General features: G+C 32.4%; 1 long non-coding RNA gene and 1 other non-coding gene across 2 annotated transcripts in view; both read left to right on the plus strand.

Moving 5' to 3' along the window:
* Window positions 1-23,805, plus strand: part of MIR4307HG (MIR4307 host gene) — a 41,611-nt gene that overhangs the window by 17,045 nt on the left and 761 nt on the right. The window lies entirely within an intron of this gene.
* MIR4307 (microRNA 4307) lies at window positions 18,465-18,548 on the plus strand. Its single transcript, NR_036193.1, has one exon. It is a non-coding gene; the product is annotated as a microRNA 4307 (primary transcript).

Raw genomic sequence — 23,805 nt, forward strand, 5'->3', positions numbered from 1 at the left:
TTTATTAGGCAGGATTAGAATAGCGTTTAGTCTATGCCCAGTTATTTTTCACTATGAAGGCAAGGCTCACTGTAGAGTCCACCCAGTGACCTACAATTTATAGGATTTTCCAATGTTGCTGGTGGAAGCAGACATTATTTCTGGCCCTGTGTAAGTGCTGGGCGGTGTTACTTCCAATCGTTTTGGCTGGTTCTTGTCTTGGCTATCTTCACATAGTTTCCTACCATGTATCCAGTGATTAGTGTTTGGCTGAATATGTAAGAAATACCCACCCAGTGCAGAGCTCAAAGTGCGGATCTCTCATCTCTAGCATTCTTTCCTGTGAATTCTATCTGCCTTGGTTGGCCTGGACTTGTCAGATATATCTCCTCAACTAAGGAAGTCTACAGGTATAGGTTTCCCCCCTTCTTTGTTATATGTGAATGCTCTCTCAAGGTAGTAAGCTTGGTCAATCAAAGGGCACATCACATTTGTGTTTTGTCTCAGGGATTACTGGCCTCTGTTACCTGATATACAGTGTCTTGAAAATCATTGTTTTAGCTCTTCTGTCCATTTTCTTATTTTTTTTGGTTGTGTGATGCAGGAGGAAATATTACTCCCCGTTACTTCACCTTAGCCAGAAGAATTGTTACTTCTTTTGATTAAACTCTCTGTTAGCTGACGGGGATACTCTTAGTTTTTGCAAGAAAAAGGTACATGATTTATTTTATAAGCACTTGTCTATGTGAGCATGTCTCTAAAAACTGCCTTTACTCATAAAAAAAAAGAATTACTTGACTGCATAAAATGCTTGTATCACATATTTTTGTACTAATATTTGAGTATTATTATATTGTCTTTGTCAGAGTATTTAAAAAAATTCTGTCTATTTTTCCCAATGTTTAGACATTTTAATTTTGTTAGAATACCCCCATCTTGTATATGTCTCATTTTAACAGGAAATTTATTTCAGTGTTCTTAACTGTGCCTTTCAATATAAGCTCTAAATAATTTGCTGATATTTGGATACATTAGGCTGAGAGATGATCGATTTACTCTTAAAGATGTTGATATAATTCTCTTCATTCCTCACTCTAAGCAAAACACATGCAATTCCCATCTTCCTACCTTCTCATTATTGTAATATTCTAATTCTGTTATTCCAGTATTAAGTGTTTATTGTGACTTTATGAACTCCATTTACAGCTGTGCCATGTTAAGTACTATAATTAATTTTTTTCTTTCTTGCAAGACTGTTTTTGTCTTCCTGCAACATACATCATCTTTTTAATTTATATGCTTATTTGTTTACTTTTAAGTATGTATTTATCACCAATTTATCCATAACCTCTCCCCAAATAGTGTAAATATTTACTTACCATATTAAAAATGATCAGGGATTCTATCAATTTTAACTACTTAAAACTTTCCTAGAAAGTTCTGATATATGCCAATGTTGTTGGTCTCTTTTTAAATTATTATTATTTTTTGATTTATGTTTTTGAGACAGGGTTTTGTTCTGTCACCCAGTCTGGAGTGTAGTGGTGGGATCATAGCTCACTGCAGCCTCAAATTCCTGGGCTCAAGTGATCCTCCTGCCCCAGCCTCCCACGTAGCTGGAAACATGGGTGCATACCACCAAGCCCAACTAATTATTTAAAAAAATGTTTTGTAGGGATGGAGTTTTGCTATGTTGCTCAGGCTGATTTTAAACTCCTGAACTCAAGCAAACCTCTTTTCTTGGTCTTCCAAAGTGCTGGGATTACAGGCTAGAGCCCTTGTGTCTGGTCTGATTGGTCTATTTATTTTATTTTATTTTTTAGGTCTGCTTCATGGTTGTAATCCTTCGGGGTCTTTTTTGATAAATAGTCTTGTTTTTCCTGTATCCTATATCTTTCTAATTTTGGTTTGTTCTTTTATTTTTGTGAGAACATTCTCCAGTGGCTTTCTAAGTAATGGTGCATTGGAAGTAAGTTTATAAGATCTTGGACTGATCATGTTGTCTTTATTCAGCCACTTTCTTGGTAATTTGTTTAGACCAAGAATTCCATGTTGGAAATTAAGCGTTCTACTAAGCTAGAAGGCAGGGTTGTTGTTGCGAAGTCTAATAGCATCATTCTCTTAATCTTTTTAACATTTCTTTTTCTCTTTGAAGCTTTTTGAATCAGCTTTTTGCTCTAACATTCTGAAATATAATGGAGATGTAATTATCACTAGTCTACTTTCACTGCTTCTTTTGGGCATTTATTCAGTGAATCTTTCTGTCTACAAAGTCCACAAAATTTCTTCAACATTATGATACAATCCTGCTAAGTTTTTTCTTTCTGCTATGTTTTTCTAATTTCTCATATATGTTTTCTATTTTTTTCATGCTCTTTTGAAATGGATTCCTTTTGTAAAATGGATGTGATATCCTTTTTCATATTTCTGAAAATATTAATAATAATTTTCATTACCGGGGGGGTGGATAATTTTACTGCATAATCTGTTTTCTCTAATTATGTTTTTTACTTGTATATTTACATGGTCTCTGTCTTTTGTTTCGTTATCTTTTTCTGGATATCTAATTTAAATCTCTGTGTGCATAGATGGAGTTGACCAATGCTAGCCTTCAGTGTAGGGAGACACCAGTTTGATTCATTGGGAAATCTCCATAATTTTAATTTTAATTTGTATATCTTCTTTTGGTCACATTTTTCGGAAAACATTTTGGTATCCTGCATGGGAGAATATAAACCTTGTTGTGTTCATTTGAGAAGTGAAAAGAGGAGACTACTGGATATATCAGAATTCCGTGTGAAGAGTCAAATTTCCTGTTTTCCGTGTGGTCCCATTACCTTTAATTTTGCTGGATACCTAATAGTGCAGAAGGCCTCTAGTTTAGTCTCTTTAGAGAATAAATCTTCTGCCTTCTTCCTGGTCGGGGGCAGGGAACACACATTGATTGAGGAACTCTGGTGGTTCAACTTCTTTTAAAATGGATTTTCAAATAATCTTGTTTATCAGGCTCGCTTTCATAAATATCTAATGCCATCAAAACCAGTTTTCTTCGTTGACATCTTAAGACCAAATTTCTCAGGACAGTAAGTTACCTCTTGTGTTTTTCTGCATTCTACTTTGGGAACTTCTGTTGCTGTTTATCGTCTTTCCTGTTCTTTGGCTTTGCACACTAATGATTAAAAATAAAAATACTTGGCTCTTATTTTATTGGTATTTGGAGAAGAATTGGAGGAAGGCAAGTCCAATCTTTCATTTCTAATCAACTTTCTTCTCCAAATTTTCTCTTGATTTACAATTTAAATTTTTTTCCAAAATATGCCTTTTTTATTTAATTTTCAAATGTTTTGTTTGAAGTATATAGTAAGCATTGTCAGTCTTAATCTCAGAGTATTTTATGTCAGGAGATTTTTTTTTGCTTTATTTACTCTGCTGTACACTTTTATGATAAACCAGTAATCCTTGGGCCAGCCATGTGTGAAGCATAAGCCCCAATATGTACTTCTAAGAATCTTCTTATTCCTTGCCTCCACCTGAAGTGTTTTTCTCTAGAGATAAAGCATAAGAGAATTAGGAAGCCTATGTCTACCCTATCTTCTTCTTGCTCCTTTCTTGAAGTTTTAGTCTTTGAATAGATAAAAATATATGAAGCCAAGAGGCCTAAGAACAATGCTCTAATCACTTCATAAAATTTTCCCGTCATAGTAGAGGAAGGAATAGCTAATTAGTTTTCTATTTGAAACAACCAAAAATGTATTGAAGGGATATTTATAACATGCAAAAGAAAAGAAATATTCCTACCTTCTCTTATGTTATTAATGTTATTTAGTTTTGTAAGCATGAGCTGGACACTTTGTTTTTCTCAGCAGCTCCTTAGACTTAGCAAAATATCCTTTCAAATTTTGAATACTTTTTGTCATCTCAGTTTTGATAGTGAATGCTTTCATTTATTTATTTATTGCTGATTTTTCATAGTTTTCTTTTTACAATGCCAGGAGATGTGTCTGAAGCTAATTAATTGGACCTTATTTAAAAAAGAAACTGAGTTGTTAATATGTCTTCTTATTTCATCTTTGGTAATGATATACTTACATTTATCCACAATTAGAATTGTATATACAAAGAATATATGTATCAAAATATCATTATATGTCCTATAGTAATTAATTCCTAATTTTTCTGTAATTATTTGATATTTTCAATTGTATAAAGTATGAAAGGACAAATATTTAAAGCATTATTTCTTATTCTCATACTTAGGACATAGTATTTATATATTTTTGAAGTATCATGTCTGAAATATTTCCTAATTCAATATTTGAGCACGGGAGAAATGAATTTCACTCCCAGGCTAGCTTGGGAGCTTTGTGTTAGCACCTTCTGCTATTGGGTTTATGATGTAAGCAAGGAAAGCCTTGCAGAGATTAATGAGGGATGATAGCTTACAGCTATTTTGAAAGAAATTATTTTGCTTATTTATATTCAACAGAACCACATCAATCAGCAAACAGAAGTAGGGAGTCATCCTTTCCTTGTGTTTAAATGTCTGCATTACAGTGTCATTTACTGAAATGACCATTCACATGGAACTGGGCAAAAAAATTCTTACATAATCGCAGAGATAAGAACTAAATTTGGCAGATTTCCGTTGTTCCTTTTAATTGAATATTATAATCAGCATTTTTATTTTATAAAGACAAATAGCTATGATGAAAAATTATTAGGCAAATAGAAAGTGAATGCTTAATTTCTGTCTGAAACATTAAGTACACAAATCAACAGGTGTTGATAAAGTTCCTAAAACTGTCGATTTATGAAAATATCTTTTTTATGAGTTTACCTGAATTGTTTTCTCCATTAAAATGCAAATACCTCAACTTATCTCTCAAAACCTTAAATAAGAAGAGAAAATCCTATTTTGGGGAGAAGAAAGGAAGAAACATAGCTACCCATGAGAAATATAAAGGTTTTTGTTTCATTTGCAAACTAGGTATGGCCTTGGTACTAAATTCTGATCAGTTATTTGAAATTTCCAGTACATGTCTTGATATGGAAAAGATGTACCACCTCCATTTCTTTCTTATTTTTGCTCACTGAAATAAAAAATGCTTGGAGTTCAAATTGCTACTTGGACCAGAAAGTGGAAGGCACGTATTGGGGGTCATGGAGAACAAAGTAAGAAGGACTGGCTCAGCTGTGAACCACTTATCTTTGGATTTCATTTATATGTGAGAGAAATATATTCTTTTTCTCCTTTTTTGGCACCTGCATCCAAACTCATTTCTGATTGATGCAAAGTGTTTCAGCCTTCATTCTATTTTTTAAACCTTATCTTTTTCTCTATTACTACAGTCCAGCTAGATTAGATGTTCAATGTTCCTTTAGTAAGCATTATGCCTTTTCAGGTTTGACCTTTTGTTCAATCTCTTCTTTCTGCACAATACAAGATATTCCCCAGGCTATAAGTTTGGAATTCTCTTCAAGCACATTTTGATTTCCTTAGATCACCCTAAGATTATCTTTTTCTCAATTCCTATATTATCATTCTATGTAATTTACCATAAGTATATTATATAATGAGTGTTTTGAGGGCCAGAACCAGTTCCCCATTGCAACAAAGCGTATTGAGCACCTATTGTGTGTCATGTGTTATGCAAGAGATGACCGAGGTAGGAAGGATGATAGAGACAGTATCCATTTCCTAATTTAGTGAAGTAAAGGTATACAAACAAGTAATACTAAAATAAGAACTCAGCTTAATGAACAACACATTATAGAATTACAGAAGAGGAAGTGATTAGTTCTTCTGGAGATGGGATGAGCAGGAAGCTCTAAATAATTTCTCCAGGGGGAAGATATTTGGGCTAACCTCAAAGGATAAATATACATTTACTTAGGAGGAAATGTCTGAGGAAACTTAAGAGGGCTCTGGATATCCAGCTGGAGCAAGGTATTGACTTTGTGTTAAAGAGTTGAAAGAAATCAATGCTACTCTTCATTAGAAAACGTGGCACTGTCAATGAATATAAGCATGGGACAAAAGGACAGATGTTTACATATGTGACATTTATATGCTTTTTGTTCAAAAAAAGAAGAAAGCTCTGATGAAAAGATGAGAAATAGATTTAATGAGGGATAATTGATGAGAGTAGACTGAAGAAAATGGATCTAACAAATTGGTCAATGGAGCAACAAATGAAACCCAGGCAATGGAAATATGTCACTAGGTAAGAAATTTTGAATGAAAGAGAGGTAAGAAGAAAGACTACTCTGACTATGTTCTTTGTAAAGTTGTGCATATACGTAGTTTGTAGAAGAAAGTTGCTTATGTGATTGTGGGCTTGGAAATTAAGGTAAAGGTGGAGAACAGCAGCTATGAAGACTGGGAAAGAGAGAAATGGAGGGGGCTAGTGTGAGTGTGCGTTTAAAGCAAAAGGCAAAAGTATTCATGTCCAGATTTGGAAGGGGGCCACGAAATGACTAATGGACTGAAGAAATAAGTAGAGATTAAGAAACTAGAGATTTCCTAAGAACTGATGTGGTAGGAGTATTATACTTCTTTGCTTTCCTTCATAGTATATAACACAATGCCTTCTACTGAGTCCTCATAAATACTTATTGCATTAATACACTACAATCCATCCCAAATCACCTTCTTATATTGTTATTTAAACTTAATGAGTTTTTAGGGAAGAAAACAAAATGAAATTATTCTGGAGAAGAGCTGTGGGGTATGGTGGCATAGGTAGCTTTATCTCCATTTGTGGGTGTTCATTAAGACCTCATGGGATAAATTTACTCAAAGTATTCCTGATTGTAGCTTTCTAATGGGGTTGACTGTGTCTCTTTTTAAGCCTTTTTTAAACGTAAATATGCAGAATATAGATTTTTACTTATGTTTTGAATAAAAATGAGCTATCTTAGGGGAAACATAGATATGGAGAAGAAAACAGTCTAAGTTCAGCATTGGATAAACAGCCCAGAGGCCCAAAGATTTGTCACAATATGTGAGGTTTCTCCAAGATCACAGGATTGTTTCTTATTAGAAAAGATGTAGCATTTATAGAAAGTGCCATTTAAAGGATTGTGTAGCTCAGAGGGGGAAAAAGCAATATTCTGGTAGGCTGCCTTTTGAAGCAGTAAACACCTTTCATGTCATTTAATAATGGCTTGGATAGGTTTGAAGAACTGTGTCAAGCATTCTGAACACAAGGAATGTAAATTTGGTGAACTCTTTCAGCCATTTGAATCTTAAATCAACCAGTCACAGTGTCTTAAAACAGCTTGTTTGATTCATTTAAGCTTGTAGTTACAGTAGGGATAAGATTCTCAGGCCTACTGTTGTTTCATCTGTAGTTGTTGTGGAAGAAAAATATACACCAGTTTTCTCCTTTCTAGGTCACATATCAAACTGATATGTGGTTTTAAGCAAAAGAGAAAAAATGGCTCATGTTTTCCCTGTTTATAAGGCGAAAATCAAGCAATTTCTAAATAATATAGAGATCATGACCCCAACTGAGCTCAAGGCCAGAGACTGGCGATTTCTTGTTTGAGTCACAAATTGTTGAATAGTTTATAGTGAATGTTTAGAATATGTGATTTAACTTTCAATCTACAAAGCCTAGTCAGAAAGGGAAACTTTTTTTTCGATATTTTTTGCTAGTTTCGCATATTTGGATGGTGTTGTCTTATTTGAGGAATTATTTCTGCTAAATTCTTCCTAGATTGAAAGTAGGAAATTGCATTTATCTAACCTATCTTCTAGTGGTTTTAGTTTGCTGCATTATAAACAGGCCAACTCCTCCCTTCCCATAGCAACCTGTGCTTCATTTTCTTAATATTTCTTTAATGTTTTTGAAATAATCTTACTCAAGATATAGATTCTTTGGGGAAATCCTAATTATATCAATCAAGTTTCATGTAACAGTAATGTTATACATCAATCATTTCATTGACTATATTTATTATTTTTCATAGGCTTTGCACTAAAATAATCAAACTAATTTCATTTAAAAATATTCTGGATGTTCTGAAATTCAGGCTGGAGGTGAAAATTTGGCTGCATGAGATTTTTATTGGGTTTACAGGTTAACTGCTGTCATTGGGAATACTGAAATAATATTGCTTAGTCAATGACCTCATTGGGTTAAACGGAACACCAAAAGACAGTCTTACAGGAAAAAATAAGTAGTTAGAATTTTGTTTTATTTAAGAGGATTATAGATATATTTGGAATGCCTTTTTAACAAAACAAGTCAATATTAACACCTTAGCTCATTTACTTTACCACATGTTAATCAGAGATAATTCATTTAGCATTCATGTGGATTAAATAAATTCTATCACTAACATTGGTCTTGTCTTTGATTATTTTTTCTCTCTTTTTTTTTTGTTTTAAACGTATGTACAAGATCTAAAAAAGTGAGACTCTTGTTCAATTACAATAGGGTTAAAAAATTCGTCTATAATAAATGAAAACTCCAGGTATGTATCTCATGTAAGGAAAATAAGGATTTATGAACCTGATACTATGAAGATAATAAAAACAAGGGAGTATGTGTGTGTTTATGTTTTTTGAAACATAAGTTATTAAGAAATTTCCAACTATATTTCTACATCTGTATATGTTTTCATAAGGCTAGAAGGACTTTAAAATATTATCTGATTTATTGTTGTGGATAGCATGTGCTTGAGTGCATCTAGACTACCATATATTTTCCTTGGATAAGAGTCCAGTGGGGTTTAGAATAAGATTTCCTGGAATTGAATCTCAGTTCTGTCATTAGTTATGGGCCTGAATAATTTTGTAATATTTCTGGACCTATTTTATCATAGGCGAAAGGGACATAGTTATAAGCCAGTTGTGAAGATGATGTAAAACCATCCATTTAAATGGTCTAACCTCCAAAGTCTACTCAGTAAGTAATAGCTATTATTGTTGGATGGTAACATACCTAACAACTCTGGTAAAGTAGATTTTCCCTAACACTGCTCCTATTTCCTCAAGCTAAAATCTTGTGAAGCCTAACCTAAATCATTTCTACACAGTTTAAGTCAATATTCATCACATGCGAAAATTAAAACACACACAACTTTTATATATGCTTATTTTTTCATCTTTCTATATAAAAGTTATCACTATTCTTATACTGTAGTTTTTACTGTTCTACTATTGTATCTCTCACAAAACTTGCAATTTGAGTTTGTTGCAAAGAAAACTTAATTAAAATATATTGACCCTCAATAGTAGTGGAGCAGAAAAAAGTGTTGGTCTCTATGCCTGTATTTAACAAGCTAGATGATTTGGCCACATCTTTGCATCAACACAACTAAAAATATATAAAATATTTCAAGATTTTATTTTTTCAAACCACTGAGACAGTGTCAAAAATTACCAGGCAGTACTCTAAAAAAAAAGCAGGAACTAATACAGCTAAAAAGACCACTGAAGATTTGCTGGATCTAATGAAACTGACTTCAGCTTTTGGTTGCAATTCAGGTCAAAGATGACAAGAATCAAAGCTGAAAGGTCAAAGTCTAACAGGCTACACTTTACCCCTGAAACTGAGGCCCTAAAAGACTATACTCTCATAACGAGGATGACACTAAACAAACCTGGCTCCCTGACATTGAAGTAGAACAGTGCATCTTAGAAATTGTAATCACAAACCTTGTACTTTACAAATGTAGTCAAGTTAGCATTTCCCTAATGTACTCAAAATTCTTAAACTAGAAATTCAGTTTAAATGATCCCAGAAACATGGTCTTCCCAGGTCCTCAGCAGAAACAACATAAATCATCCCTAGAAAAATACAGTCCATCCTTGACCTTAAGGAATTTGCATGAATAAATTCCTTAAGGAATTTATTCCTTAGGGATATTATATCCCTAATGAGAAAAATAATATATTAAAATAATAAATACACATAACAAGAAGGCATAATGAGTTAGAAATAAGCAAAAGCAGCAGACAGCAGAAATAGAAGCATACATCTTCAAATTCGGAAATAATCAGACACAGATTATAAACTAACAATGGTTGTATATTTAAAGGGGACGAAATCAAATTTGAAAGTATTTCTAGAATAATAAGCTATAATATATGACCTGAAAACACAGTAATAAAAATTAAAAACCCAATGGACATGTTTAATAGCAGATTGGACACAGACATAGAGACAATTAGTGAATTGGACAGCAAATCAGAAGAAATTATTCAAAAAAAGTACAGAGAAGCAAAAATAAGAAAAAAATATGAGAAAAGGTAAAAAACATGGAGGGAGAAAATATTTAATGAATAATGTGGAAAGAGACAGCAGTAAAAATATAGCACAAAACAATATTTGATTACCTAATATCTAAAAATGTCATAGAGCTAATGAAAGTCACTAATGACAAATATACAGGTTTAGAGGACCCCAAGCATGAGCTATATAAAGAGAAATCTACACCTAGACATACTGTTGTGAAACTACAGGTAGATAACAGCTGGGGTGGGGTGGGGAAGGAAATACAGATTAACTTTAAAAAACAGCAGCTGCATTCTCATCAGTGAAAGCTAAAGGACAGAGAAAGTAACTTTTTCAGTGTTCTGCGAGAAAATACTTATTAATGCATCATTCTATACCCAGCAAATATATCTTTCTTTTAGCATGAAGATGAAGTAAATCAATTCTCAGCCACCATCCCCTACCACCACCAAAAAAAAAAAAAAAAAAAAAAAAAATCCAAATGGTTGTATTCTTGTCTATGTAATATTTATGTACACTTTTCCTATGGTTTGAATGTGTCTTCCAAGGTTCATGTGTTAGAAACTTAAGATGGTATCTTTAAGAGATGATTAGATTATGAGGGTTCTGCCCTCATGATTGCAGTGGTATCTTTATTGCAGGAGTGACATTGTTATAACAGTGAGATTGGCTCCTCCACTCTTTTCTTCCTCCTTCCACCATGGGATGGTAACAGCAATAAGGCCCTCACAAGATGTGAGTGCCTTGCTCTTGGACTTCCCATACTCTACAACTGTGAGTGAATCCATTTCTGTTCTTTATGAATTACCCAGTCTCAGGTATTCTATACCTTTGGCAGCACAGAATGAAGTAAGACAGGTGTACTTTTTTTATTAGGAATGTATTTAAATTCCACTTTATTTAAATTCCGATATTACTCAAAGATTGTGGAAGTCTGTCTTTTATCATAGAAATTAGTGGAATATAATCATAGAACAGTAAGTTGGTGTTCTTTTCTAAGGAAAGCAAGATTCTAGAGCAGAGACCTAAAAATTTGTTACTTTTCCTGACACCTCTGTATCCCCATGGAGTGTTTCTCTAGTTCCTCTGGTTAGTTTGATAAGCTATTTTAAGAGTGATGGCAATTGAGTGAAGATCATGTTCTTATCCCCATGACAGCCAGTAAGCTTAGTGCTCTTTCATGGCCATAGGCCATCACTCAATAATAGCTAAAACATATTACCCAACAGAGAGCAAGGGATGGAAATGTAAACAGATTAGAATGAACATGTAACCTATCCACCATAGCAAAATCTTCTTAAAGAGCTTAAAGTGCTGATGGTAAAGAAGTATTTATACTATATTAGATCAAGGGACCATGAGGTAAATGCCAGCGTCATAGTGTAAGTTAGAAGACCAAGCTTTTTCTGGTGTTAGATGATTTTTGGACAAATTTGTCTTCAGTTTTCCCATTCAGCACTCCAAAATTGACTTGTAAATAGCAACTCTTCTGTAGCACCTTCAGGTTATTTCAGATAGGAGTTTCTGGTGCTATACACAGTATTAAATGCATCCTACAGAGTTTGAAAGTGAATCAAATACAGTAATGAGGAAAGGGGGGAAGTCTATGAGTTTCAGAGGTTTCCTCGGAGACTTGTAAAATATGCATTAGAAGTAAGCAATTTAAGCACCATGAATTTTATTACTAGCCCAAAAGTTACCCTGAGTCTTATATTTTAGCTGATTTACATTCATGCTGTCTTCAGGGTACAATAATGAGTTCGGTCTTGCTTATATCTGAGTTCAGTTTGTAAGGCAAACTCAGGAAAAGTGCTTAAGTAATACAAGCAGAACCCTAAATTATTGTTTTATAATTTGTCCTCTCCTTCTAAAGAAAAATGATTGGTCAAAAGTAATATTTTTATAAAATTTTCCAAAACTGTTATCCTCCTATTAAATTTATTAAATTCTGGTTTATTCTCCTTCTTCATTTTTATCACACATATCTTTTACCATCTTTTACTTTCCCAGATAATCAAACAATGCCAATTGGTTACACTGCATTTACTTATTTTTATTTTGTCTATATCTTTATGTGTACATATTCTATGTATGTAGGTATATATGTATGTATGTATGTATCTATCTATCATCTATCTTCCTTAAGATACCTTTATAATACCATTACTTATAGTAAAGAGTTTATGAAACATTCAAACATAGTCATTGATATTATATTGTGAAAAGTTTAAATTAGTGCCTTGGTGAATCATATGCATTATTTATGTTTTTTTCACCTATTTCTAAGAAGAATATCAAACAAAACAAGAATGTCAATATTTCTGAGAGTAAATTCTTCTATTTTACCAAATTCCTCTTCTCTCTATGGCCAACATATATTCCAATCACATACAAAGCAAAAACAAACCCAAAATCTCTGCAAAACTGTCTTTGTTTCCTTACAAGAAGAGATAATAAATACTGTCGATGTTATGTGGAGCCTCCAATTTGTAATTGCTCAATTGTCACTCTTCTTTTTACTCAGCTATTAAAAGTAATAGCTTACTTTTTCAATCTCAAGTCCTGTAACAAACAATAATATTCTGATTTACATTGTGGTGCATCTCAAATTGTTTTAAAATCTGAACTAAAATTACCTTGAATATTTTGTGTTGGACTTTTATTACTAGCCATGCAATACTATTCTAAATACCTGGGGGGTAGACCAGGAGAACAGGCCCAAGAGGAGTCATTTAAATATCAATGGTGAGACAGAAGCACAATTCAAAAAATTCATAATTAAGGCAGTATTTTCCTTTTGATAGTATGTATATTGGCATAATGTTGTTTTGAATTTTATTGGAAATATTTGAAAATAATACATAAAGTATGTAATGTCAGTCTAGTTAAAACTTGTATTTTTGTGGTATATCCCTCAATCTGATTTTTCCAACTGATTTGATAATGTTCAAAAAGCCAACATTTAAGATTCTGTTTCTCCAAAGAATATAAATAATATTCTCTTTCTCCAAAGAATATAAATAATAATGTCATTATAATCCCACAAAACTAGTAGAAATAATTGTACAATGATTTAATGAAATCTCCCCTGTGGCTGATGTTCAGCATTAAAATGTCACTATTAGTTGAATGCTTACCCTTACCAAGTATTCTAGTAAGCACTTTATATGCATTATCTTATTTACTGTCAATCATCCCAGTAGTACCATTAATATATCTTTTGTGTTAATAAGGAAAATTCTATTTAGAGTGGTTAAAGACCTTGTGTCAGCTGCTTAGCACTGGAGACTCTAAGTTCACTGGAATGAACTCTATTTTGTTTGATTCCAGAGTCTGTGTTCTTACGCTATAAATTATTCTCTCTTTCAAGATGCTATTGAGATCCTGGAATTGGTTTATATATTTGATCTGAATAGGACAATCTGAATTTTTAAGGTCATTTAATATTAAGTATAAAGTGAATTTTCTTTTTACATGACTGTAATTTCTCAAAGTGAATTCTCTTCTTCTCCTCTGATATTATGCTGTGTTCACCCCATCTTTAATCATAATATGTTTGGTTGGCTTCTTAGCAATTGTCAGCATCTTTGCCACATGTTTGGAGGCCTGATATCAGTTTGTCACCATGTACTGTATTTTTCCTGTCTGGTTGGGAGCAGAGAGCAGGTGCTTGGAAATCCTGCTCTCATCCATTCTCCACACATGACTGGTCTATGTTCAGCTGAATTATGGTGAATATCACTTGAGAACTGCTGTAGTAACTGCACTTCAAGACCTGCCTGTAATCTTGCCCTGCTATTTGATATTCATTCAGCAAAGCACATAAATGAAATTATTAAAACTATTTAAGGACTCAGATATGCTCATATCATCTTCAAGACTTATCATCTTATTATAATACATGAGAAATCAGCGTAATTCTGAAGAAGTTAAGCTTGACCCAGAGTTTGGAACACAATTGAAATACCTAATTGATGGTTTGTTATTAAACTATCAATTAAATGTATTTTTACATTTAATTTTCAATGTTGTTGATCTGCTGGTTTACAATTGGGAAACTCACTCAAAAGAGAAATGAAATTCAAAACTATAATGATCTATCATCTTACACTAGTTAAAGTGGCTTTTTTCAAAGAGATAGGTAATAATGGATGCTGGCCGGGATATGGAGAAAGGGGAATCCTTGTACACTGTTGGTGGGAATGTAAATTAATATAGCCACTATGGAGAATAGTATGGAGGTTCCTTACAAATCGCAAAATAATACTATCATATAATCCAGCAATCCCACTGCTGGGTATATATCCATAATAAAGAAAATTAGTCTATTGAAGAGATATCTGCACTGCCATGTTTATTGCAGCACTGTTCACAATAGCCAACATACGGAATCACCCTAAGTATCTACCAACAGATGAATGGATAAAGAAAGTACGGTACATATACACAATGAGATATTATTCAACCGTAAAAAATAATGAAATCTTGCCATTTGCAACTTAGATTGAAATTGAACACAAAGGTTTATGTAAACAGATACTCATGTAAACAAACTTTCAAAAGACAATTTTTGTTAATGCAAATATTTACATTAAACCAATCAATAATAAAAGTTTGCCTTGCTTTAGCAAATGTTTTAAATAAAAATTAAGATGTAAAAATATGAATAAGAGAAGCCCTAATCACTGGAAAATAATTATGTGTAAAAATTTTTAAAGATACATGTGAACACTTAAATGACTTAGTTGAAATAGATTTACAACTGTCTTGTATTACATACCTATTTTATACCGCAAGCGTACCTATATGTAGATTCTGGAAACCTCATGCCGAGGTAGAGATTTTAAGATTAATAGCAAAGCTCCAGATATAGGTAGATTTTCATATATTTCAAAGGCATGTATGCTCTGATACAAAATACGTTATTAGAGGAAAGCTTGCTTAAACTGTATAAGAGAGAAGCTTTTCTTGTTTCTAAGCACAGGTTTGAATTTTCTTCTGTTCATTTATTTCCCAGCAGGTGTCTCTATACAGCAGCGATATTCAGAAAGCACAAGAAGACAAGAACTAATTATATAAAAAAGAAAATGTAGCAAGGAGAGAAATGAACTGGTCATAGAGTATATCTATGTTGACAATATGAAGTCAAACTAAAAATATATACTCTCCATAAATAGTTGTATAGCATATTTTATTTTCTTCTTGATTTTATTTGTTTAAACAACTTTTTGAAAAGAGTCCTAGGAAAAGCTTTTAAAACAGTTTGTACTATATACAACCTATATAGGTTGGTTTTTTATATATATATATATATATATGTGCAGATATATATATATATATATATTTATATGTGCAGATTGGACCAAATACAAACCTCTAACAGTATCAGTTTACTCATTGCCATCTTGATCTGATAACTTCAGCATTTCAGATGAAACTTAAAGGAAGTAGAACTGATCTGTGCTATAATCATCAACAATGATTTAAAGGTGATAGTAGACAGTAAGATATTAAAAAGCAGAAAGATAGTGTAAAATAATATCACTCAAAGATGTAAATTATCCAGCTTTCCTTGATCAATGCATTACAAAAGTCACTATTTTCATTTAGAATGAGATGCAAAAGAGTGAATATTTTTAATGCTTAATTGTCAATACATAAGCTTTTTAATCAAACAAAATTTATGCTTTGATGGATCCCAGTTGAATTTCTACCCTAAAATAGATTAAATAAAACATTTCAACTTTACAGATTAAAGGAATTGAACTCATGCCTTTTTTATTGTAATTGCAGATTTAATGCATCACAACATTCTGAGATGAAAACACGAAATCAATACATGCTTAAAACTTAATAGCGTTAACTGAATTGCTTCTAAGTTAAACTTAAGTTTTAACATGTAGAGTTCTTATTTCCCAAACAATAAACATTCACCCAGTTTAAAAACACATGAAAACTATAAATTTGTAAATATAAATATAAAATGATATATAAATATATAAATATATTTATATATATATATAAATATAAATATATTTATATATAAATATAAATATAAATATAAATGATAAAATATAAATATAAGAATATATTCCACAAAATGGTTAAAGACAGAAAAAAATTCTAGCTGGATGGATCTCAAAGACAGTTTGCTCAACTTTTACATCTATTGGATTTTTTAGGACGTTAATAGAAATTTATAAAATCTTAGAACTAAGTATGTCACAAAAATGTATGTGTATTTTGGCCAATTATAGAGAGGCTATGGAATAATTGTACTCAATGAGGTCCCAATTTTCCTTTCACTCTGATGTTATATTTCTTTTATCTTATGTTTATTTTAAAAAATTAATACGTTAATCTGAAGGGCCACTAAATAAATCTTCCAGGCTTCCACGATACTTTCAGAAATGGATTGAACTGGCTGGGCGCAGTGGCTCACGCCTGTAATCCAAGCACTTTCGGAGGCTGAGGCGGGCGGAACACCTGAGGTCGGGAGTTCGAGATCAGCCTGACCAACATGGAGAAACCCTGACTCTACTAAAAAATAAAAATAAAAATAAATACAAAATTACCCAGGCATGGTGGCACATGCCTGTAATCCCAGCTACTTGGGAGGCTGAGGCAGGAGAATTGCTTGAACCTGGGAAGCGGAGGTTGCAATGAGTTGAGATCATACCATTGCACTCCAGCCTGGGCAACAATAGCAAAACTCCCATAAAAAAAAAAAAAAAATAGAACTTTTTAAATTCATTCTATTTAGATTAACAATCTGATTTCAAATTATCAGATAATATTTTCTGGTTTAAGATGAACAGAAAATACACTTGTCAATGTTTTCTCACAGTCTTTTTTTTAAGTAACAAAAACAAAATTATAAGAACAAATTAATGATAAAAAAAAAGAAAGAAAGGAGGTAGTGAGAGGCCACAAAAATGGAGAATTCCCAGTAAAGGAGAATGAGTACATCTTTAAAGAGAAATCAGAGTTGATAGGGTATATCCCAAGAATAAACATGGTTTTGTCCAAGGAGCCAAGAAGAAGCTCCAGGTTCTAAATCCACAAATTAAAAGAAAAGGAATGTGTCATGGGGCAACAAAAATGGGCTACTGAAATGTAAATCCATGAGAGCAGGGGTTTCATTGGTCTTGTTTGCTGCTGGAACTGACATAGAATTTTGCCTGGCAATAAAGAGTTCAGTACAGCATACAGAAATTTACTACCAGTAGAGTAAGGAGATCTGTCATTGTTTTATAGTTATTTTTTCCTCTTTATGGCTAACCAAGATATGGAGTTAGAATAAGCTCAGCTTTGTTGCACTCTCAGGCTTTATTTTCTGCTGTGGGAAGCTTCCAAAGGCATAAGACCAGTGGTGTGCTGGAGCTGCCTTCTACGGTCTATTAAAAGCCAGCTATTAAATTTTTAGGAATTTTGCAAGACAGGTTTTAAATGCACATATCAGTTTTTAAAAAATCTACAAAATAAATCTATACTTCCATATCTTCCATATATTATAATAAAAACATGCAATATATACTCAATATTCATTACTTTCTAATTATTCCACCATATTTTAATGCTATTGATGATCTTGTGGTTATTTACATCTGCGTGGGTGATGGAAAAGCTATCCAGTTGTCCCTCATTATCCCTGGAGATAATTGGTTCCAGGATCACTCCCACTAAAACAGAATCCATGAATGCTCAAGTCCCTGATTTAAAATGGCATATTACTTACATGTAACTTATCAATATCCTCCCGTATACTTTAAATCCTCTCTAGAATACTTACAATACTTAATACAATGTACATGCTATGTAAATAATTGTTATGCTTTATTATCTTTTTACTTGTATTATTTTTATTGTATGTATATTGAGTTTATTAGAATATTTTTGATCAGCAGAGGGCTTTTTTATTGTTGTTCTTTCTGGATATGCATGTGTACATACATGTTTTTCCACCTGCTCTACCATATGGAAATAGTTTGCTGACATTCTTCTAGATAGCCTCCAAAACCCAACCAATAAATTTAGCCCATATTATACACAGCAGAAAACAATAGAATTTATTTGTGCTTGCGGCACCCATATACATGGAAGAACTCAATGATGAGTGACTCAAAAGAAGTAATTAGAATTTGGAGCTTATAGATAATACAATTTTAATAGGTGAAAGGGAGAGAGAGAAAGGCACCTAGGGAAAACAGATGACTTTTTGGAAAGATAAATGGGCTTTCAGAAGAAAAAACAGGAGATAAAGTTTGTGATAATGTTTGTCTATATAGTTATGAATGTTTTTTCCTGTTTCCTTCAGGGCCATAATACTCCCCTGGAGAAGGGGTTTGAGGTAGGTTTTATTTACATTTTCCCTTCTGGGATTAGATCTACCCTGAAGTGCAATTTATAGCAGCCTTATTTCCCATAAGTTTCTACTTTTACTCAGATAAAGAAAGCTCTAGGAAGGCTTTTTTTTTTTTTTCTGCATCTGTTGAAAAGTTTTAAATAGTTTACTTAGATACATTTATTAGATTTGAATGAAAAGGTTGGTGTACTTTACTTTTCAAAGTATATACCAATTTTACAATTCTTTCTTCTTTACAGTAAACCTCATTTTTGACAAGTGGTTGGCTGTCTTAGCTTAACTTGAGATATGAAAATATAGGTAGAACATTTTTCTAGCAATCATCTACAAAGATGAAAATTTCCCTCTCAGATAGGCACTTGAACTTTTTCTTAATAATATAAGTACTTTATTGGAGAGTATGTGAACCCTCTTTTCTCAATAGATGGTCTTGTTAAATATATTTTTTAAATATGACAACAAAAGAACACAAGAAACTTTGATAAATTTTATTTTATAAAAACAAGAGTATTTGTTCTGCAAACACAATGTTAAGAAAAGAAAGAAACTGCAGACTGGATTAATATGTGCAAAACAGGTAACTAATACAGACTTGTATTTACAATGTAAAAAGAATCTGAAATACTTAATATGAATATATATATTTTTGAGACAGAGTCTCACGTTGTAACCCAGGCTGGAATACAGTGGCACCATTTTGGCTCACTGCAGCCTCAACTTCCTGGCTCAGGTGATCCTCCTACCTCAGCCTCTCAAGTGTCTGGGACTATAGGCGTGTGCCACCATGCCCAGCTAATTTTTTGTATTTTCTGTAGAGATGGGGTTTTGCTGTGTTCCTCAGGCTGGTCTAGAATTCCTAGGCTCAATTGATTTGCCCACCTCGGTCTCCTAAAGTGCTGGGATTATAGGTGTGCACCCACCCTTAATAAGACTAATTTTAAGAAAACAAACAACCAAATAGAAAATGAGGAAAGGATTTGACAGGTATTTCACCAAACATATATGGATGATAAATATGCATAATAAGAGTCTCAAAATCAGTAGTCATTAGGGAAATACTAATTGAAACCATGAGATACCATAGGTTGTTTGCAAGAATAAACGTGATATACCATTTGTGAAAATAAATTAGAAATTTCTTATAAAGTTAAACATAAGCCCATGACTCAGTAATCCTACTCACAGTATTTAACCAAGGTAAATGAAGACTTAGGTTCATACAAAAACTTGTATGGAAAGGTTTATAATGGTCTTATTTATTATTGTCAAAAACTGGGAAAACCTAAACATCCTTCATTGGTTAATGGATAAATAGTGACATATACATCCAATGAAATACTAGTCAGCAATAGAAAAACCTGATTAATAATATACACACAACATGGATGAATCTCAAATGCATGTGCTAAGTAACAAGAGGCAGAGAGAAAAAATTTTATATGGTATGTTTCTATCTAATGACATTCTGGAAAAGTAAAATATAGGAACGGAAAGCACATTAGTGTTTGCTATGGGCTGGGCGGGCAGGAGGTGTTGACTATAAAGTGCAGCAACAGGGGTTATTTGGGGGGTGATGAACTATTTTGCAGTTTGATTGTGGTCATGGTTTTATATGACTGTAAGCATTTATCAAATTTGACAGGGTGGTACATCAAAAAGTAAAATTTATGTGAATTTGAAAAGTGAATAATAATAACAGTGACAACATTAATCATAAAATCCTAGATGAGTAACAATGCCAAAAAAGTGATATAAAGACGAGAAGAACTTACAGCATTAGCACAAAACATTTTTTAAAAATTTAGGTCTCAGCTTCATTGTTATCTCCTCAGAAAAGTTTTTCCCTGACCATTGAGTATGAAGTATCTACTCGTCATTCTCAATCACAGCATCTTAATTTAATTATCTCCCTTGCACTTAATTCTAATCCAATGTTTTCTCATTTATTTAAGTTTTTATTATTTTTTGTTGTTTGTATTCCTGTGTTAAAATGTAATCTTGTTTTCTGTAATGCTCACAACTGTGAGCTGAGGACGTCGAATAATTCCTGGCATGAAGGATTACTTGATGCACATTGGTTAAATGGGGATAATGTCATTAGTCTTTGAACTGCAATGTAGGAGTTCCAAGTTTTTAAATAAGATTAACATGTCATATAATAAAAAACATTGATCAAAATTGAAATACCAAACAAAAGTCTCTTAAAAGCCACAAGTATTCAATAAATATCAATTTCTTACTAATATGAGTTGGGAAGTAAAACAATAAGGGCTAAAACTGACTAAAATATTTAGGTAGTATCTTTGGAAAAATAGGTAAAAACATATAAAGTATAAAAATGTTTTGAACTAAAAGAAAACTGTTTAATATAAAATCATATATAAGAAGAAAGAAAGAAAAGGCTGTGATTTTTTGCATAATTTGGATAAGAAACTCATCATATAGTTTTCACATTCTTAGAAGAAAAGTGAATAGCTTCAAGATGGCACCAAGAAAGAACTGCACAGATGCCAAATATACAGCTTAGGACACAATCAACTCCTTGCATTAAAACGACATGCCATCATAAGTTGGTTGCAAATTCCTGATTTGGGCAAAAGAATGGATGGCAATATAGAATCCCCCAGTTATGAGTTACTCATTAATTTATTAACTTGTAAGATTAAAATTAAGAAGCAGGACTCAAAAATGTTGTGTTTAGGTTTTTGTCTTAGTATACAAATTTAAGCTTGCTTGTTTGAGAACATCTGTTGTTTTATATATGGACTTTTTTTCTCAATTACCTATCTGTATCAGTCTAACTGTGAATAAGTTGTAGAGAACAGATTGATGTTGCTTCGACCTCTTTACCTAACAATATGACTGCAAAGACTAATTATTAGATGGGAAAGCTGACAGTTTATTCTCTGGAAGGGCTGGTGATTGGGATTGTAATGATCTTGAAAGATATTGTTGCAACTGTACCACTTCCACTGTTCCTACTATTCCTTTTTGCCTCAGATGAGGTGGCTCTGAGATAGGAGTTACAGCAAGGAAGTGTTAACATGATTATTATTACTAAGTTACTTAGCTGAATATGAAAAATGACCCACTGAGGATTTTTATATCTTCTAAGATCTGAGTGAGCCAAAAGGTAATCAAGAACACCCTGCACTGATGTAGAATATGGCCTGCTTTAAGTCCACTTTAAATAGCTATTCATTTTCTCATCCTTTCATTTATCCAGAGGCACTTATGGAATATCCGTGGTGTAACTGACCTTGTTCTAGGTACTTGTTCCCTGTTTTGAGACATCTCCTGGAGATCAAGGTCTTTGGAAATGTGGCACTGCTCTTGCTACTTCATTGTTCTATTCTTGATGTGACATTTTTGACAAAATTTTAAATATTCATTTCTAAAAGATATAATAATTTTGTGGTAAATGAAAATAATATGAAAGCCTTTGCAAAATACTAAGGTCAGTGGTTTTTCTATGTAAAAAATAAAATCATAACTTAGGGGTGGGATAGACAAGGTTCCCCAAAGAAAGTACACATGCTGAACTGTTAAGATGTTTGAAATAAGAAATCTCACTAGCAGTAAGCTGGAAAGAGTAGCGATACTATCTGAATATAGATTGGAACTATTTTAGAATACAGGGTAAAGAATACGGTTTCTTAAAGAAAGAGATTGGTCTTTATATGTTTGTATTTCAAAACGTCAAGCTTAATAAAGAACCAAAACTAGTCCCATTGAGGAATAAGAAGTTGTCTGTTATTTTGCCAGTATTCTAATTATTATATCTATTATATCCAAAAATCACATGATATCTGTACAAAAGAAAAGAAAAAGACAATGAACAATACCTGAACTACAATTCTACATGTCTTTATATATATATATGTATATATATAAATAACAATTTTCTCTCTATAGATTACAATTCTACATGTTTGTATATATGCAAATATATATACATATATGTTTTATATATACACATACATATATATATATATATATATATATATATACACACTACAAAAAGGGAGAATTCACTTCAGAACACAAGCAAATCTCTTATGGTATTGAACACAAATCTGAAGCAAAAAAAGTATCATTCAAAAAATATTTGAGACCGTTAACAAGAAACTTGAGTAAAATGTTAAAACACAAAAAACAAAACAAGATTAATACTCAATACATTGGCCAGCCAAACAATAATATATTTTATGAGATAAATATTTCTTACATATTAAACAATAAATAATAAAAATTAAAATTAACCAGGGGACAGAAATTAAAAAAGAATTACACCTAAGAATGCTTTCAATAGGATTGTTATTGTCAGACTAACATAAAGAAATTAGAAAACTTTGGGCTATTTAATGAGCAGGATATACACATCATTATAACCACTATGCATACATACGTGAGTTCAATTATTTCTCTCTCTGATATTATCAACCTCATTTCATGATGCTAGCAATTATCATAGTAGCTAGCATTTATGTTTACTTACTATGTGTATGTTCTTTATACAGTATAAACGGCATGCCAGATATTCAAATAGCAATGCCACCTTGGCAATTCTGTGATTAAATCTGTGTTTTTTACTAAGGTTCAGAAGCTTTGGAATATTCACAGATGATATACTGTACCTTATATCCTTATAGATGATTAATAAGCATGTTCTACTAAATGAAACAGGATAGAAAGGAATAATTTTAAAATTTGAGTCAAGTATATTTATGTAAATTTAATTCATATATAATTTCTCCTGAAAACTAGGCACTGCTCTTAACTTTACTTAGTATTTTCCTCTTTCCTTGACTCTCTCTATGCTAGACGATTCCTTATTTCTCCATAAAACTAAGAAAACATATGCATCAGCATATCTTACAACCAGTGGATACTAAGAGTTAATTTATTGGCACATTTCATGCAAAATTAATAAGAATGGAGGAGAAATAAGAGCCTGAGTGTATTAAATTTTCCTATTAGACTACTACCTGATTTTTGTAGGCCTAGTCATATATTTCTTGGGGATAGAGCAGGGTATAGGACATATTTATAGCTATTAAATATTTATATTTAAAAAGAGAAAGTAAGTACATAAGACCACTGTTAGAAATTTTAGAATTTGTTAGTTAAAAAAAAAAGAAACTTTAAGAAACAGCTGTTTTTGTTTATGGTTTCATTCTTCCAGGAGATAAATCAGATTTAGTGTGGATCTGT

This window comes from Homo sapiens, chromosome 14, assembly GCF_000001405.40.
Source record: "Homo sapiens chromosome 14, GRCh38.p14 Primary Assembly".
In the NCBI taxonomy this organism is placed as follows: domain Eukaryota; kingdom Metazoa; phylum Chordata; class Mammalia; order Primates; family Hominidae; genus Homo; species Homo sapiens.